Raw genomic sequence first — 19,217 nt, forward strand, 5'->3', positions numbered from 1 at the left:
TTCTGCCTTAATTTCATTATTTACCTAAAATCATTCAAGAGCAGGTTGTTCAATTTCCATGTAGTTGTGTGGTTTTGAGTGAGTTTCTTAATCTTGAGATCTAATTTGATTCCACTGTGGTCTAAGGGACTGTTTATTATGTTTTCAGTTCTTCTGCATTCGCTAAGGAGTGTTTTACTTTTGCTATATGATCAATTCTAGAGTAAGTGCCATGTGGTGATGAGAAGAATGTATATTCTGTTGTTTTGGAGTGGAGAGTTCTGTAAGTATCTATTAGGTCCACTTGATCCAGATCTGAGTTCAGATCCTGAATATCTTTGTTAATTTTCTGTCTCAATGATCTGTTAATATTATCAGTGGAGTGTTAAAGTATCCCACTATTACTGTGTGGGAGTCTAAGTCTCTTTGTAGGTCTCTAATAACTTGCGTTATGAATCTGGGTGCTCCTGTATTGGGTGCATATATATTTAGGATAGTTAGCTTTTCTTGTTGAACCCTTTACTATTACTTGGGTCCAGGGAGCCAAGCAGCATCATTCTGTGAGCCTCACCTCCATGGCACCCCACAAGTTAAGACTACTGGCTTGGAATTCCAGCCTGCCAGTCGCGATAGGCTGGAATCTGCTTAAGAAGGACCAATTCCCCAGGGAGAGGAGCAGTGCCATCTCTGCAGTTGAGTCAACTCAGCTGTTCCAGCCTGCCGGCTCTGGAGAGTCCAGACAATCTGGATGAAGAAGGGTCCTCAACAAAGGAGCACAGCTGCACTACCAAGAAGCAGCCAGGCTGCTTCTGTAAGTGGGTCCCTGATTCTGTTCCTTCTCACAAGGGACCACCCCCCAGGGTTATGTAGGGACAGGTTTCCCACCTTGCTGGGAATCCTGGGGCCAGAGTATACAAAACTCCTGGGTCTCCGTGTGTGCCTGAGTGGCTACTCTGTCAGGACTCCACACAGCTCTGTGTAGAGAGACCCAAGGACCTGGTGATACTGGCTTATGAGAGGATCACCTGATCTGCTGGTTGCAATGATTCATGGGAGAAGTGTGGTTTCCCAGGGTGGAATCACACAATCACTTCACCACTTCCCTTGACTTGAGGGCAGGGATTCCTTTGGGTCCATGTGGCTCCTGGGCAGGCCATCACCCCACCCTGCCTTTCTTCATTCTCTATGGGTGGACCTGTTTGCCTAGTCAGTCCCAGCGCGAGAACCTGGATATTTCAGTTGAAAATGCTGAATTCACTTACCACTTTCATTCCTCTCTGTGAGTGCCACAGACCGCAGCTGCTTCCAATTGGCCATTTTAGTCTTGTACTAATTTTCATTTCCACCAGCAGTGTATAAGCCTTCCCTTTTCTCTTCATCCTCACCAATTTCTGTTGTTTTTTGACTTTTTAATAATAATCATTCTGACTAGTGTGAGACGGTATCTCACTGTGGTTTTGAATTTCTCTGACGATTAGTGATATTGAGCATTTTTTCATATGCTTATTGGTCATTTGTATGTCTTCTTTTGAAAAATGTCTATTCCTTTGTCCAAAAAGTGCTTTTGAGCACTCCCAAAGAAATTCCCACTAGCTCTTGCTCATGGGCCTTAGGCAGTATATTGTATATACTTATACTTTTATTGTACATATGTTTACTATATACAGTATATTGTATATAGTTTATGATTTTTGAATCTATTGTGAATGCAGTTTTCTCAATTTCATTTTAATTGTTCATTGTTAGCATATTGAAGTACACTTGATTTTTATTCATTTCATTCTGAGAAATGTAGTTTAAATTCTTTGTAATTCACTGTGAGTTTTTTCATATATTATGTTGTTTGTGAGCAAAGACAGTCTTCTTACTTTCCAGTGTGGGTAGGCTTTCTCTCTCTTGCCTCATTACACTGGCTACAACCTCTAATATAATGTTCAATACAACTGGGAATAGTGGATATCCTTGCCTTGTTCTTCATCTTAGTGGGGGAAATGTTTCGTCTTTCACCATCAAGAATGATGTGAGCTGTGGGGTTTTTTTGTAGATATCTTTTAACAGATTGAGGAAGACTTCTTTGGTTCCTAGTTTGTTGAGTATCTTTGTTATGAATAGGAGTAAGAAATGCTTTTTCTACATCTATCGATATGTTCCTGTGGCTCCTGATTTTTATGTTATTGATATATTATATTCAATTTTGGATATTAAACTCACCTTGCATTCCTGTGATTAATCCCTCTTGGTCATTGTGTATAATAGTCTTTCTAGGTTGCTGGAATCAATTTGTTAATACTTTGTTAAAGATTTTTGCAACTACATTTATGAGACATATTGGCTGAATTTTTCTTGTGATGTTTTTGTCTGGTTTTGGTATAAGAAAAATATTCATGTTTATAGTATTGGTATTGTTTCCCTCTTAAAGATTTGATAGAATTCATGAGCAAAGCCACCTGGGCCTGGGCTTTTCTTTATGGAAAGATATTTTTATTATTAGTTTGTTATATACTTTATGTATTTATTATTGTCCTATTACTTTTACTTTTTCTTATACAGGTGTATTCAGATTCCCATTTCTTCTTGAATTAGTTTAAGGTGTCTACTTTTTTTTTTTTTTTTTTTGAGATGGAGTTTTGCTCTTGTCACTCAGGCAAGTGCAATAGCGCGATCTCAGCTAACTACAACCTCCGCCTCTGGGTTCAAGCGATTCTCCTGCCTGAGTAGCTGGGATTACAGGCGCCCACCACCAAGCCCTGCTAATTTTTATTATTATTATTATTATTTTTAGTAGGGACAGGGTTTCACCATGTTGGCCAGGCTGGTCTCGAACTCGTGGCCTCAGGTGATCTGCCCACCTCGGCCCCCCAAAGTGCTGGGATTACAGGCTTGAGCCACCGTGCCCGGCCTTAAGGTATCTAATTTGATAGCACACAGTTGTTCATAATAGTCTCATCATTTATTTTAATTTCTAAAAGGATAGTAGTAATATTTCATCTTTTCTGATTTTGGTAATTGGCATCTTCTCTATTTTTATCTTGGTCATTATAACTAAAGGTTTATCAATTTTGGTTGTCTTCTAGAACTGATTTTTGGTCACTGATTTTCCATATTACTTTTCTGTTTTCTATTTCATTGATTTCCACTCTCATTTTTCTTATTTTCTTCCTTCTGATTGCTTTGAATTTAATTGTTCTTTTTCTAGTTTCCTAAGGTAGAAGCTTAGAGTGGTTTGTGACCTTTCTTCTTCTTCTAATATAAGCATTTAAAGCTATAAATTTCCCTCTATGCACTGTTTTAAATGCTTCCCACAAATTTTGGTATACTGTGTTTTTGTTTTCATTTAGTTGAGGATATTATCTAATTTCCCTCATAATTTTTTCTTCAAAGTTTCTTAATTTTAAGTATTTGGTGAATTCCAAATAAAATTTCTTCCCATTGTTAATTTTAACTTTAATGCCCTTGTGCTTAGAAAAAAATACTTGCTATAATTTTACACTTTTTGAACTTATGGAGACATGTACTATGGCCTAGCCTATGGTCTGTCCTGGTAAATGATCCATGTGTGTTTGGAAAGAATATGTGTCTTGCTGTCATTGGTGTGGAAATTTTTATAAGTCACAGGTCAAGTTGGCTGATAATGTTTTTAAGTCTTCTATATCCTTATTGGTTTTCTGTCTTTTAAAAGCAGTTATTGGGCCAGGCGCGATGGCTCACACCTGTAATCCCAACACTCCACAAGGTCAGGAGATTGAGACCACCCTGGCTAACATGGTGAAACCTCATCTCTACTAAAAATATAAAAAATTAGCTGGGTGTGGTGGCATGCACCTGTAGTCCCAGCTACTTGGGAGGCTGAGACAGGAGAATCATTTGAAGCTGGGTGGCAGAGGTTGCAGTGAGCCAAGATTACACCACTGCACTCCAGTCTGAGTGACAGAGCGAGACTCCATCTCAAAAAAAAGAAAGAAAGAAAAAGAAAAAAGCAGTTATTTAGAGTAGAGTACTAAAATCTCTATGACTGCTGAATTGTTTATTTCTCCTTTCAATTATGCCAGGTTTTGCTTCATGTCTTTTCAGGCTCTGATTGGGTGCATACATATTTATAATCATGTCTACTTGGTGTGTTGATTATCTTATCATTTAATCAACTGTCTTTCTTTGTCCCTAGTTACATTTGTTTTAAAGTCTGTTTTGTCTGATATTGATCTAGCCATTTAGGCTGTCTTACAATTACTATTTGCACGGATATCTTTTTTCATCTTTTCACTTTCAATCTATATATGCCTCTGAATCCAAAGTGTATCTTTTGGTAGAAAGCATATAGTTGGGTCTTCCTTTTTTATCTAGTCTGGAAATCTCTGCCTTTTGGCTGAAGTATTTAGTCCATCTTCACGTTTAATGTAATTATTGATTTTGTGGATTTAAATTTGCCATTTTGCTAAATGTTTTCTATATACCTATATACTCTCTTTCCTCTATTCATTTTTCCATGCCTTCTTTTATGTTAACAAAGTGCCTTTTGGTATGCCATTTTCATTCTTCCCTTGATTTTTTAGACTATATTTCAAAAGATGTTTTCTAAACAGTGGTTGTAGGGCTTGCTTTGTTTATCACAATCCAGTCAGATTAATACTGACTTAATTCTGGTGAAATATAACAATGGTTAAATACCGAAAGCCTTCCCTCCAAGATCAGGAACAAAATTAAGATGCCTGCTTTCACCACTGGTATTCCATATTATACCAGAAGCTCTAGACAGACAAATTAGGTGAGAAAAATAAACAAAAGAAATTCACTTTGGAAATGCAGAAGTAAAACTATCTCTACTTGCAGATGACATGATCCTATATATATAGAAAATCCCAATGAATCCTAAAAACAAATACACAGTAACAACAAAATCAAACTACGGATAATTTTTAAAATCCAGCCAAGTGGCAGGATGCAAAATCAACACACACAAAAAAAGTTGTGCTTCTATACAACCTCAATGAACAATTCAAAAAGGAAATTAAGAAAATTGTTCCATCTGCAATAGCACCCAAACCAAAATATACCTATAATAATGTATCCAAGGAGATGAAAACTACAAAACTACATTGAAAACTATAGAATGTTACAGAAAGAAATTTTTGAAAACCTAAATAAATGCAAAGACAGCTGATGTTCATGGATTGGGAGACTTAATATTGTTACGATGACAATATTACCCAAAGTGATCTACAAACACAGTCCTTATCAAGATACCAATGCCCCTTTTTGCAGAAATAAGAAAGCTAATCTTCAAATTTATATGTAATTAGAAGAGGCCACAAATAGCTAAAACAATCTTAAAAAAGAACAACATGGCCGAGTGCAGTAGCTCACACCTGTAATCCCAGCACTTTGGGAGGCCGAGGTGGGCAGATCACCTGAGGTCAGGAGTTTGAAACCAGCCTGGCCAACATGGTGAAACCCCATCTCTACTAAAAATACAAAATTAGCCGGGCGTGGTCATGGGTGCCTGTAATCCCAGCTACTTGGGAGGTTGAGGCGGGAGAATCACTTGAACCAAGGAGGCAGAGGTTGCAGTGAGCCAAGATCGTGGCACTGCACTCTAGCCTGGGCAACAAGAGCGAGACTCCATCTCAAAAAAAAAAAGCAACGTTGAAGGACTCATACTTCCTGATTTCAAAATATACCATGAAGCTGCAATAGTCAAAATCGTGGGTTATGGCATAAGGAGAGATATATAGACCAATGGAATGGAATTGAGAGTTCAGAATCACTGGCCCATTCATTTTCAATGAAGGTGCCAAGTCCATTCCATGGGGAAGGAACAGTCTGTTCAACAAATTGTACTAGACATTCACATACAAAAGAATGAAGTTGGACCCTTACTTCATACCATATACAAAATTTACCACGGAAATTATTGAAGACTAAGTATATCAACTCGAAGTATAAAATTTTAGAATAAAACTGTTGTTGGTTGAATTATGTCCCCCAAAAGATATGTTGAAGTTGACACCCCCAGTAGTCATAAATGGGACATTTTAGAAATAGGCTATTTGCAGATGTAATCAAGTTAAGATGAGGATGTTAGGGTGGGGCCTTGTCCAATATGACTGAAGGACATATAGGAAGGGGAGAAGGGACACAGACATGGAGTGTGCATGTGATGACAGAGGCAGAGACTGGAGCCATGCACCTGCCAGCCACAGAAAGCCAAGGATTTCTGGCAACCACAAGAAGCTAGGAAGAGGAAAAGAAGGATCCTCCCTGAGACCCCTGAGAGGGAGCCTGGCCCTTCTGACACCTTAACGTCAGACTTCAGGTGTGCAGAGCTGTGAGAGAAAAACTTTTTGTCGTTTGAAACTGCCCAGTTTGGGGTACTTTGTGACAGCAGCCCTAGGAAACAAATACAGAAACATAGGTCAAGAAATCACAACCTTGGACTTGGCAATGGGTTCTTAGATACAACAAAAACATGAGCATCAAAATAAATTGGCCAGGTGTAGTGGCTCGTGTGTATAATCCCAACAGTTTGGGAGGCCAAGGCGGGCAGATTACTTGAGCCTAGGAGTTCGAGACCAGCCAGGGCAACATGGTGAAACTCAGTCTCTACAAAAAATACAAAAATTAGCCGGGCGTGGTGGTGTGCACCTGTAATCCCAGGTACTCAGGTGGCTGAGGCAGGAGGATCGTTTGAACCCGGGAGGCAGAGGTTGCAGTGAGCCGAGATTGCACCACTGCACTCCAGCCTGGGCAACAGAGCAAGACTCTGTTTCAAAAAAAAAAAATTAGCTGGGCGTGGTGGCGAGTGCCTGTAGTGCCAGCTACTGGGGAGGCTGTGGTGGGAGGATTACCTGAGCTCAGCGGGTCGAGGCTGCAGTGAGCCAAGATTGCACCACTGCACTCCAGCCTAGGTAGGTAACAGACCTAAATTGTCTCAAAAAAAATTGATAAATTGGGCTTCATTGAAATTAAAAACTTTTGTATATCAAAGACAATACCAAGAAAGTGATAAGAATGGAAGAAAATATTTTCAAATTATGAATTGATAAAAGCCTAGTATCCAGAATATATAAAGAACTCCTACAACTCAACAAAAAGCAAGCAACCCAATTTAAAAATGGGCAGAAGACTTGAACTGACATTTCTCCAAAGATAACATGTAAATGGTCCACAAGCACATGCAAGGATGCTCCACGTCATTAGTCATTAGGAAACACAAGACAGAACCCCAGCATCCATTCATCCCTCGCCAAAATGGCTGTAATCAAACAAATGGAAAATAGGTACTGGCAAGGGCGTGGAGAAAGCAGAGCCCTCGTTCATTGCTGGTGGGAATTTAAAATGACATACTCCCTGCAGAAACAGTTTAGAAGTTCCTCAAAAAGTTAAACAGGCCAAGTGCACTGCTCATCTTTAATCCCGGCACTTCGGGAGGCCAAGGCAGGAGGATTGCTTGAGCCCAGGAGTTTGAGATCAGCCTGGGCAACATAGCAAGACCCCAACTCTAAAAAACAATGTTAAACATAGAATTACCCTATGGCCCAATTACCACACATAACAACTCCACTCCTAGGTATGTACTCAAGGGATTGAAAGCTAGTGTTCAAACAAGTACATGTACATGTGTGTTCATAGCAGCACTATTCACGTAGCCAAAAGGTGGAAACAGCCCACATGTCCCACAGTGGAAAAATGAAACAAACTGGGGCATAAACATAGGATGGAAAAGTATTTCAACCATAAAATGGAATACGTGCTACAACACTGTCGAGCCTCAAAAACACAATGCTAAGTGAAAAAGCCAGACACTAAAAGTCCTATATTGTGTGATTCGATGTATAAGAAATATCTGGAACAGGCAAATCATACAGATGGAATACAGATTGGTGGCTACCAAGGACAGGGTCTGGGGTGACTTTTGGCTTGATGAAAATGTTTTGGAATTAGAAGGTGATAATGATTATATGGCATTGTGAATGTACTAAATGCCACTGATTTGTCTGCTTTAAAATGCTTAATTTAATGTAACGTAAATTTTGCCTTGATTTTTAAAAAGTGCTGTCCAGGTGTGGTGGCTCATGCTTGCAATCCCAGCACTTTGGGAGTCCGTGGCAGGACGATAGCTTAAGGCCAGGAGTTTGAGAAAAGCCTGGGCAACATAGCAAGACTTTGGTTATAAAAGAGAGATTTTGTTTGTTTGTTTTTTACTTTTTTTTTTTTCGAGACAAGGTCTTGCTCTGTTGCCCAGACTGGAGTGCAGTAATATGAACACAGCTTATTGCAGCCTCAACCTCCTAGGCTCCAGCGATCCTTCTTCCTCAGCCTCCTGAGTAGCTGGGACCACAGGCATGCACCATCATATCCAGGTAATTTTCTTTATTTTTTGTAGAGATGGGGGTCTCATTTTACTGCCCAGGCTGGCCTCAAGGGATCCTCCCGCTTCTCAAAGTGCTGGGATTACAGGTGTGAGCCACCACACCAAGCCAAAAAAGTTTTTAATAAAAGCTTCCGGCCGGGCGCGGTGGCTCACGCCTGTAATCCCAGCACTTTGGGAGGCCGAGGCGGGCGGATCACGAGGTCAGGAGATCGAGACCATCCCGGCTAAAACGGTGAAACCCCGTCTCTACTAAAAATACAAAAAATTAGCCGGGCGTAGTGGCGGGCGCCTGTAGTCCCAGCTACTTGGGAGGCTGAGGCAGGAGAATGGCGTGAACCCGGGAGGCGGAGCTTGCAGTGAGCCGAGATCCCGCCACTGCACTCCAGCCTGGGCGACAGAGCGAGACTCCGTCTCAAAAAAAAAAAAAAATAAAATAAAAGCTTCCATAACAGAATTTTCATTGGAAACTCTCATCTTTCATGTGAGAATGCCTTTATTTTATACTCTACATTTTTATTTGAGACATTGTTTACAAACTCTAAAATCCACAAATATTGTGTACAGCTGAATTATGTTAACATATTCTTTTTTCATTTTTTAAAATGTTATTTCTTGTAACATTGGAGTTACAATGAATTTTTAAAGCAAATTCCAGATACTATATTTCATCCATAAATATTTCAGTGTAGACAAACATTTTATTTATATATTTATTTAATCTTATTTTATTCTTTTAGTGGCAGGGTCTTGCTCTGTCACCCAGGCTGGAGTGCAGCGGCACAGTCATAGTTCACTGCCGCCTCTAACTCTTGGGCTCAAATGATCCTCCTGCCTCAGCCTTCAGAGGAGCTGGGACTACAGGCGTGCGCCACCATGCCTGGATAGTTTTTACTCATGAATAGTCCTGTTGCACTACCATCACCACCCTCCAAGATAAAGGACATTTCCTCACCAGAGAAAACTTCCAGTCTCCCCAGGTGACAAATCCGCCTTGCCAAGGTAAACACTATTCTGAATTTTGTCATCATTTAGTAGTTTTTCCTTTTCTTAAACTTCGTTAATGAAATCACACACCATGGATTCCTCTGTGCCCAGCTTTTTTCGCTGACTACTGTTTTTGAGATTCATTCATGTTGTTTCCATATCAGCTGCTCATCCTTCTTTTCCTGTTGTGAGTTCTTTCAGTGTTTGCACGCAGCAAAGTGTCTTCTCTCCATAGTCCTGCTAATAGACGTCTGGGTTGCCATCAGTGTTTAGGTCATGTGAACAAATCTGCAACAGATACTTACTGTGCAAGTCTTTTGGGGAATATAGGTACTTGTTTATCTTGGGTCTATGCTTGGTAGAATCTGTTGGCTGTGGTGTAGGGATAAATTCAACTTTATTGGAAACTGCCAAACACGTTTCTAAAGTGGTCATGCCATTTTTCAATCCCGTGAGCAATGTAGGAGAGTGCTAGTTGCTGCACCTCTTTGCCGATACTTGGTAGTGCCATCTTTTTCATTTCAGTTATGCTACTCATGTCATGGCCTCTTCTTGAGGTTTGCTGACTTGTAGGAGTTTCTTTATATATTCTGGATACATGTACTTCAACGTGTATTGCAAATATTTTCTACCGCACTGGCTTGGTTTGTAATTTTCTTTTTTTGTTTTCTTTTTCTTTTTTAGAGATGGGGTCTTGCTCTATTTCCCAGGCTGGTTTCAAACTTCTGGCCTCAAGCGTTCCTCCCACCTCAGCCTCCCAAGGTGTTGGGATGACAGTCGTGAGCCATTGCACCTGGCCAGCTTTTAATTTCCTTAGTAGTGTCTTTTGATGGGAAAAAGTTTTGGATTTTGATGAAGTCCAATTTATTTTTATATTAATATTTTGGTTTCACACATAGGGTCTTTTATATTCTGTTTATAAAGATTTGCCTATTGTAAGTTTACAAAGATAATTTTCAACATCTATTCTAGAAGCGTTTTGAATTTAATTTTTATATTTAGGCATAAGATCCATCTGAAATTAATTTTTGCATATGGTGTGAGGAAAAGGCCAAGTTTGAGCCAGCTGGTGGTGGCGTCATGCCTGCTGTGATTCCATGTGTGGCCCCCGCTGGGCCTGTGGTGCTGTCCATGGCCCTCTCCTGAGCACCGCCCTGCAGATGAGCGTTGTAGTCTAGTGGTCAGAGCCAGCATGGGCGCTCTGGAGCCTTTGCATTTCCACTTGTGTTTGGAGTCAGCCTACTCATTTCTACAAAATGCCTGCTAAGGTTTCGAATGATCCATTGTTTTCCATGGCTCTTGGTCCTGTTCCCTGAGACATCCTTTCTTCTGCATTCGTCTCCTTGGCTACTTCTTAAGCAGGCTTTGAAAAATGTTCATTCTGTCTATTTGTCATGGTGCCAGGATGTCTTAAGCTACAGGACTTACATACTCAGCTTTAAGTTTTGTTTGCTTTGAGCAAGTTAGATGGATGTTTTGGCCATTATAATGTGAAAACTCCTATTTCTTTGTAGTATTTCACCAATTTGTGTGTCTATGATAATTGTAAATACATGCAATATCTGTATTTCTCTTTTCAAATAAAATTCTTTATTTTATTTTAAAAAATTCAGCTAGGGCCTTACTATGTTGCCCAGGCCCAGGTCTCGAGCTCCTGGGCTCAAGTGATCCACCTGCCTTGGCCTCCCAAAGTGCTGGGATTACAGGCATGAGCCACCACGCCCGGCTCTACTGCTCCATTTTAATGCCAAGGAATAAGTGTTCTGGCAGCACAAATTGGTCCATGCGAGGTAACGTGGATACATTCAGGTTCAGCCAAAAATGTTTTGCATTTTTATGCTTCTTTCCTGCCAGCCCTAAGGAAGTCAGTGTTGCCTGAATGCTTTAATAAAACACATCCCTGTTTAAATGTATGCAACTGAGCCAGGTGCAGTGGTTCAAGCCTGTAATCCCAGCAATTTGTGAGGCTGAGGTAGGAGGATTGCTTGAAGCTGGGAGTTTGAGACCAGTCTGGACAACATAGTGAGACCCCATCCCTACAAAAAAGGAAATAAAATAAAATAATTAGCCAGACATGGAGGTGCATACCTGTAGTCCCAGCTACTTGGGAGGCTGAGGCAGGAGGATGGTTTGAGCTCAGGAGGTCCAGGCTGCAGTGAGCCATAATCACACCACTGCACTCCAGCCTGTAACAGGGCAAGAGCCTGTCTCAAAGAAAAAAAAGGTATGTAACCAGAGCAGGACCCTGTCTCAAGGAAAAAAAAAAAAGGTGTGTAACTGAAAAACAAATTTTTAAAAGGTCTTTTATATGTATTGCATTTGAGCAACTTTCTCAGACTTTCTTGAGGGCTTGGTGGTCTTTTGAGACTGTGAACATCTTGTGGCTCAGACTGGCGACAGTTTTACAAGTGCGGACCTCAGATTCCTATGTCTTCTCCTGACATCCTCGATGTGCCACCACTCTTTTTGAGGTAACACTTCCTAAATGTCATCGCCGCCTTTTTGGGTGTGTTAGACTGTTGAGGGACAGCACCCCGAGGGTACTTAGAGTCACCGTCATCCAGCAGAGGATGTCTACCGGGCACTTTCTTAATTCTTCCGAGGACTTAGCACAGGTGCCAACAGCCACACCCTCAGCGGATCTTTATTCTGAGCCATGTCTTGCTTGATTTTCTCTTTGCCCCTCGGCTTTATCTTGAGAATATTTTGCTAGCTAGAAAGACTTGCGAACAGAAACAGTTTAATTTTCCAACCCAGAAAACCGCAGCCCCTGTCTTACAGGGGTCAGTAAACTACAGATGAGGAGTCAGATCCACTCCATTGCTTGGTTCTGTGTTGTCTGTGAGCTTAGGATGGTTTCTACACTTTTGTTTTTAAAATCTTATTTTATATTTTGAGACACAGTCTTAGGCTAGAGTGCAGTGCGGTGATCATAGCTCACTGAGGCCTCAAACTCCCAGGCTCAAGCAGTCCTCCCACTTCAGCCTCCTGAGTAGCTGGGACTATAGGCGTGTGCCACCACACCCAGCTAATTTTTGTATTTTTTGTAGAGATGGGGGTCTCACTATGTTGCCCAGGCTGGTCTCGAACTCCTGGGCTCAAGCGATCCTCCTGCCTCAGTCTCCCAAAATGCTGGGGTTACAGGTGAGCCAGTGTACCCAGCCTACACTTTTAAATGGTTGGGGCGGAAAAGAACCCAAAAGAGGAATATTTCATAAAACATGAAAATTATTTAAAACTCAAAATTCAGTGTCCCTACATTTTTCTTCAAGCATATACATGCCCATTTATTTACATATTGTCTCTGGCTATTTCCATTCCACAACAGGAGAGTGGAGCAGTGGCTGCAGAGCTGAGATGGCCTGCAGAGCCTACGGTGTCTACTCTTTGGCCCTTTACAGAGTTTGCTCACCCCTTCTTCACTGTGTGTCCTCTACAGTTGTTTGAAAATTGGCATCTTCTCTTTCGAGTTTCTCTCTTTTCTGTAGTGCCTTATCCTCAGCTAGAACCAGCCACTTGGCTTTCGTCATTCAGCCTGGAAGTCACCTTGCAAAGTCTCTCAAGTTCATTAAACATATTTTATACCTTCCATGTCTCCATCAGCAACAGTTTGTGCCACTTCATCCCCCAAGCCACCATCTTCCCGACCTCCTATATCAGTTTTCCCTTCATTTTTCCAGATTCTACTGTGAGTGCTGCTAGCCACCAGCTTCCAAAACCAAGACGACGTTTTTGGTATTTTAGAGAAGCCTCTAATTCCTAGATACCATTTCTGTATCATTTTATCTATTGCCACAAGAATGCTGCATTATAAAGAGTGAGCAGGCCTGGTTCACCCAGCAACGGGCCTTTACTGAGCTCAGGCAGTTGTGGGTCGGTGATGTAACCTGTGGGTTCTTCTGGTTTGGCTGAGCTTCTCCCATCAGGCTGCTGGCTGGCCTGGGATAGCCTGAGCTGGGGGGCTGGACTCTGCCCCATGCAACTGTCTCCATCCAGCAGGCTGGCCTAGCTGCACCCCTCAGCAGTGGTGAAGATTCAAGACAATGAGAAACAAGCACTTTTCCAAGCCCCTGCTTAAATCCCGTTGACCAAACCACGTCCGTGGCAAAATTCAGATCCAAGGACTGGTGAAATGTGACACCGCACCTCGATGAGAGGAACCGCAAGACATATGGCAGAGGGCACCCATGTGGGAAAGGCGGGGAAGGGGACCCACTAGTGCAGTTCATTTCCCCTGAACTTGTATTTTACTACTCAGCAGTACAAACACTTTAAATAGCGTAACTCCATTTTCTTCTTTAACCCCTTATACTTTTGTTCTGCATTTTTCTTCTATACATTATATTGGCATGAATGCTGCTTTAAATCCAGTAATCCTTGACCACATTTTTCACTAGTCTTTCATTTTTAACCACAACCAGGAAAGGGTTGACCCAATGCCCAAATTCAGTTCACCCAAAACCAGGACCACCCACCTCCCAGTAACAGCCCTCAATCTCCAGCTCCATCTCACAAATGTGTGCATCCTCCTCCTCTCTGCCAGGGCATGTAAGCAGGCAGTTGTCTTAGTCCATTTGTGTTGCTGTAAAGGAATACCTGAGGCTGGGTAGTTTCTAGAAAAGAGGTTTGTTTGGCTCAGGGTTCTGTAAGAAGCATGGTGCTGGCATCTGCTTCAGGGCCTCAGGCTGCTTCCACTCATGGGGAAGGGGAAGGGACCACATGGCCAGAGGGGAGGGGAGTTCCCAGGCTCCTTTTAACAACCAGCTCTCTCTGTTGGAAGCCAGTAGAATGAGAACTCACTCCCCCCACCTCCACAGCACTGATCTATTCATGAGGGATGCACCCCCCAGGACCCAAATGCCTCCCATTAGGCCCACCTCGAACATTTGGAGTTGAATTTTAACATGGGATTTGGAGGGGACAAACATCCCAACTATAGCAGCAGGGCAGGCGAATAGTGCCTGCAGGTCTATCTGTGATCTATAGGCCCAAGTCATATCCATGCTTCAAGGTACTCTCATTCCAGGAAAGCTTTCCCAAATTCAGCTCTGCCCTCTCTCCCTTCTTAGACACTGAATGCCATTTCATATGTCTGGTGTCTGTCCATCTCTGTTTGTTTGGGGCACAGAATTGGATTCATTCTAATTCTCAGATCAAAAAAAAATTTACTCTACATTTGTTCCTGCATGGTGCTCTTTCAGTGTTTGCTTGCTTATAATAATATGGACACCAATCCAACAGGGAAACTAGAGCATTGACAATAACGTATCTGCTTTTGTGGCCCTGCCCCATCTGGCCTTCCACCTCTCCTTCTCTGAGGGAACTTCTTTTTTTTTTTTTGAGATGGAGTTTCACTCTTGTTGCTCAGGCTGGAGTGCAATGGCGTGATCTCTGGCTCACCGCAACCTCCGCCTTCTGGGTTCTAGCGATTCTCCTGCCTCAGCCTCCTGAGTAGCTGGGATTACAGGCATGTGCTACCACACCTAATTTTGTATTCTTAGTAGAATACGGGGTTTCTCCATGTTGGTCAGGGTGGTCTCGAACTCCCAGCCTCAGGTGATCCACCTGCCTCGGCCTCCCAAAGTGCTGGGACTACAGGTGTGAGCCACCATGCCCGGCCTCTGAGGGAACTTCTTACCATGCATCTTTGACAGACAAGTCGTGGTAAGTATATCCATGGATTCCCAGGCCTTTACAGAGAATCCGTTGCCCTCAGGAACAACAGCCCACAGATTGGAAAGCTCCAACCTTGATCAAAGGAGCAGTAGACTTCACCGTCTCTAATGAGGACCGGCCTTTATATTCTCCTAACACCCTGAGACGGACACTAGGAATAGCCTTGCCCTTTCTATGAGACATGTGTAGCCTTCTCTTGGCAGAATTAGTAAAAAAGCCATCCATACATAATGTAGCACAGGGCTCCAGGATGCATAAATGAGCTGCAGGCCGCAAGACTTGGTTTACGATGCTCCAGTCAAGGCCAGAAAACCAAACGTAACTGAAAAGTAGCCCTCATATTTATTTGGGTCACTTAGATGATATTACATGATATCCAGTTCCACAACAACACATATTTCCTCTTTCATTTTCCCTCTTCTCCCATTCTCCCACACCCAACAAATCTTTGAACACACATAAACACACAAAAACAAAAAACAAAAACCAGCCGGGCGTGGTGGCTCACGCCTGTAATCCCAGCACTTTGGGAGGCTGAGATGGGTGAATCACCTGAGGTCAGGAGTTCGAGACCAGCCTGACCAACATGGAGAAACCCCGTCTCTACTAAAAATACAAAATTAGCCAGGTGTGGTGGCGCATGCCTGTAATCCCAGCTACTTGGGAGTCTGAAGCAGGAGAATCGCTTGAACCTGGGAGGCAGAGGTTGCAGTGAGCCAAGATCACACCATTGCATTGCACTCCAGCCTGGGCAATAAGAGTGAAACTCCATCTTAAAAAAAAAATGTCAAACAAACAAAAAACCAACCAAGCACAGTGGCTCAGGCCTGTAATCCCAGCATTTTGGGAGGCCGAGGCAGGTGGATCACCTGAGGTCAGGAGTTCAAGACCAGCCTGGCCAACAAGGTGAAACCCTATCTCTACTAAAAATATAAAAGTTAGCCGGGTGTGGTGGTGCGCACCTGTAATCCCAGCTACTCGGGAGGTGGAGGTTGCAGTGAGCCAAGATTGTACCAATGCACTCCAGCCTGGGTGACAGAGTGAGACCCTGTCTCAAAACAACAGTAACAACAACAACAAAACAAACAAAAAACCCTCTGTGTTACTTTCAACTCCCCAGACTGTTCTGTCCTGATTTGACTCTTCATGGAACACTCTTTTACTCTGTCTGACATCTTTTGTTTTAACTTTTATAATCGTTTCTTTTTTGATATAAATATTCAGGAAACCAAACACAGGATTGGGGTTAGGGCTAGGGGTTAGGCTTAAGGTTAGTGTTCCTTCAATATGTGGTGGGGATCCTCCCCAGTGAGACCTGGGCTCCTCCCCATCTGTGGTCGGGACTTCATTCATGGGTCATCGGGGTTACTCCCTGTCTGATCAAGGCTTCCTCCCCTACCCCCCATGAGTGGTGAGGTTTCCTCCCTGTGAGTGGGCAAAGCTTCTCCCTACGTGTGGTGGGGCTCCTTCCTCTGAGTGGTCAGGGTTCCTCTCTATGTGCGGTGAGACTCCTCCCTATGTGTAGTCAGGACTCCTACCTGTGTGGTGGGACTCCTCCCTATGTGTGGTCAGTGCTCCTTCCGGTTTGTGGTGGAGCTCCTCCCTACATGTGGTGGGGCTCCTCCCTATGTGTGGTCAAAACTCCTCCCTATGTGTAGTGGGGCTCTTCCCTATGTGTGGTGGGGCTCCTCCCTATGTGTGGTGGGGCTCCTCCTTATGTGTGGTGGGGTCCTCCCTATGTGTGGTCAGGGCTTTTCCCTATGTGTGGTCAGGACTCCTCACTGTGTGATGGAGCTCCTCCCTATGTGTGGTGAGGGCTCCTCCTCATTTGGTGGGGATCCTCCCTCTGAGTGTTCAGGGTTCCTCCCTGTGTATGGTGGGACTCCTCACCATGGGCAGTGGGGCTCCTCCCTATGTGTGGTCAGGACTCCTCCCTATGTGGGGTGGGGCTCCTCCCTATGTACGGTCAGGGCTCCTCCCTATGTGTGGTGGGACTCCTCCCTATGTGTGGTGGGACTCCTCCCTATGTGTGGTCAGGACTCCTCCCTGTGTAGTGGGGCTCCTCCCTATGTGTGGTGGGGCTGCTCTCTATGTGTGGTGGGGCTCTTCCCTATGTGTGGTGGAGCTCCTCCCTATGTTTAGTGGGGTGCCTCCCTATGTGTGGTCAGGACTCCTCCCTATGTGTGGTGGGGCTCCTCCCTATGCGTGGTGGGGCTCCTCCCTGTGTGTGGTGAGGCTCCTCCCTAATGTGTGGTGGGGCTCCTCCCTATGTGTGGTGGGGCTCCTCCCTATGTGTGGTGGAGCTCCTCCCTATGTATAGTGGAGCTCCTATGTGTGGTCAGGACTCCTCCCTATGTGTGGTCAGGACTCCTCCCTATGTGTGGTGGGACTCATCCCTATGTGTCATCAGGGCTCCTTCCTACGTATAGTGGGGCTCCTCTCCATGGGCTATCCCCTTGGTGTCCACTGTGGGGCAGGGATCCCCCCACCCCACACGAAGCAGGTGCTGCCCCCTCACGGGAGCCCTCCTCCCACAGGTGAGACCTCAGACGAGCTGCAGGAGATGCAGCTCCCGCTGATCCTGGAGCCCTGGTGCCACCTGCTCTACGGACACATGTCCTACATCATGCCCGACATGCTGTGTGCTGGGGACATCCTGAATGCTAAGACCGTGTGTGAGGTGTGCCCCTCCTGGTCCATGAGACAGAGGTCATGGGTGCCCTGTGCCTGTGGACCCCACAGGACCCCACTCTGGCCTCCCACTGACTAGCAGGAGCCCTGCAGCCATGCCCCAAGCTGAGCAGGGCGATGTATGACAATGTGTGAACGCCGCATGCCTGCAGCAGGCCTCCCCTGCAACTCTGGGCTGTGTTGCAGCCAGTAGGGAGGCTGGGTGAGAGGGGGGCACTGGCCCCTTCCAGCAGGGTCTGCACAGCCACCCCCTTGCACCCTGGGGGACAGGTGCAGGAGGCGGCAGGCCTGGGACTCCCAGTTCACAAAAAACTCCCTCTTCCTTTCTAGGGCGACTCCGGGGGCCCACTTGTCTGTGAATTCAACCGCAGCTGGTTGCAGATTGGAATTGTGAGCTGGGGCCGAGGCTGCTCCAACCCTCTGTACCCTGGAGTGTATGCCAGTGTTTCCTATTTCTCAAAATGGATATGTGATAACATAGAAATCACGCCCACTCCTGCTCAGCCAGCCCCTGCTCTCTCTCCAGCTCTGGGGCCCACTCTCAGCGTCCTAATGGCCATGCTGGCTGGCTGGTCAGTGCTGTGAGGTCAGGATACCCACTCTAGGATTCTCATGGCTGCACACCCTGCCCCAGCCCAGCTGCCTCCAGACCCCTAAGCATCTCCTGTCCTGGCCTCTCTGAAGCAGACAAGGGCCACCTATCCCGGGGGTGGATGCTGAGTCCAGGAGGTGATGAGCAAGTGTACAAAAGAAAAAAGGGAAGGGGGAGAGGGGCTGGTCAGGGAGAACCCAGCTTGGGCAGAGTGCACCTGAGATTTGATAAGATCATTAAATATTTACAAAGCAAGCCTCTGAGATCACCTGTGTGGCTCCTTCCGCCCCTGCCGGAGTCGTTGTCCTCTTCCATGCACAGAAAGGGGGACTATCACCCCTCCTGAGGCTCTCAGAAAAGGAGAAGCACAGGCCGAATCAGCTCTTTCCAGAAACAGAGGGGCGATGACACAGACACACTCCTCTGAATCTGTGGGATGTGGTCAAAGCCCAGGCCCAAGGAAAGGTCATTGCTTACATGCCTACGCCTGTACATATAAAACAGCTGCAGACATTTAAACATCCAATTGCAAAAAAAAAAAAAAAAGTGTGTGTTGTGGGGGTAACCGGAGCTGAAAGTAGACACAAGGAAGGAACAAACACGATAGAAGCATGAAGGAGCCCCAAGTCAGAAAAGCACCGAAAACTCATATTTCAAAAGTCTGCTCCTTGGAAAATATCAAACAGTGGACAGGGGTTGGAGAGATCACTAACCTACCCAACACAGGAGATAAGAACAAAAATACACAAAATGAGAAATGACAAGTGAAAATGATCCATCAACTGAGACAAGGTAAGAAACCACACGAGAGAGTGTACAACTCTATATAAATTTAAATGAAAAGCAGCACTTTTTAGGAAAAAAAGTTTACTAAAACTAACCCCAGTAGAGAGGTTTTAGGCTGGGCACTGTGGCTTATGCCTGTAA

The 19,217-nt window shown here is 44.3% G+C and overlaps 1 protein-coding gene across 3 annotated transcripts in view; it reads left to right on the forward strand.

Moving 5' to 3' along the window:
• PRSS38 (serine protease 38) overlaps positions 1–18,545 on the forward strand; it is a 30,796-nt gene extending 12,251 nt beyond the window's left edge. For 2 of the 3 annotated variants that reach the window (XM_011544175.3, NM_001374657.2), the window contains one exon: positions 18,029–18,545. In XM_011544175.3, the coding sequence (XP_011542477.1) occupies positions 18,029–18,092 (64 nt within the window). In that variant the 3' untranslated portion in view covers positions 18,093–18,545. Of the gene's footprint in view, positions 1–17,544; positions 17,688–18,028 lie in introns of all 3 variants that reach the window. The other variant, NM_183062.3, reaches the window with a different exon arrangement.
• Positions 18,546–19,217: the final 672 nt, after the last annotated feature.

This window comes from Homo sapiens, chromosome 1 (genome assembly GCF_000001405.40).
Source record: "Homo sapiens chromosome 1, GRCh38.p14 Primary Assembly".
Classification (NCBI taxonomy): domain Eukaryota; kingdom Metazoa; phylum Chordata; class Mammalia; order Primates; family Hominidae; genus Homo; species Homo sapiens.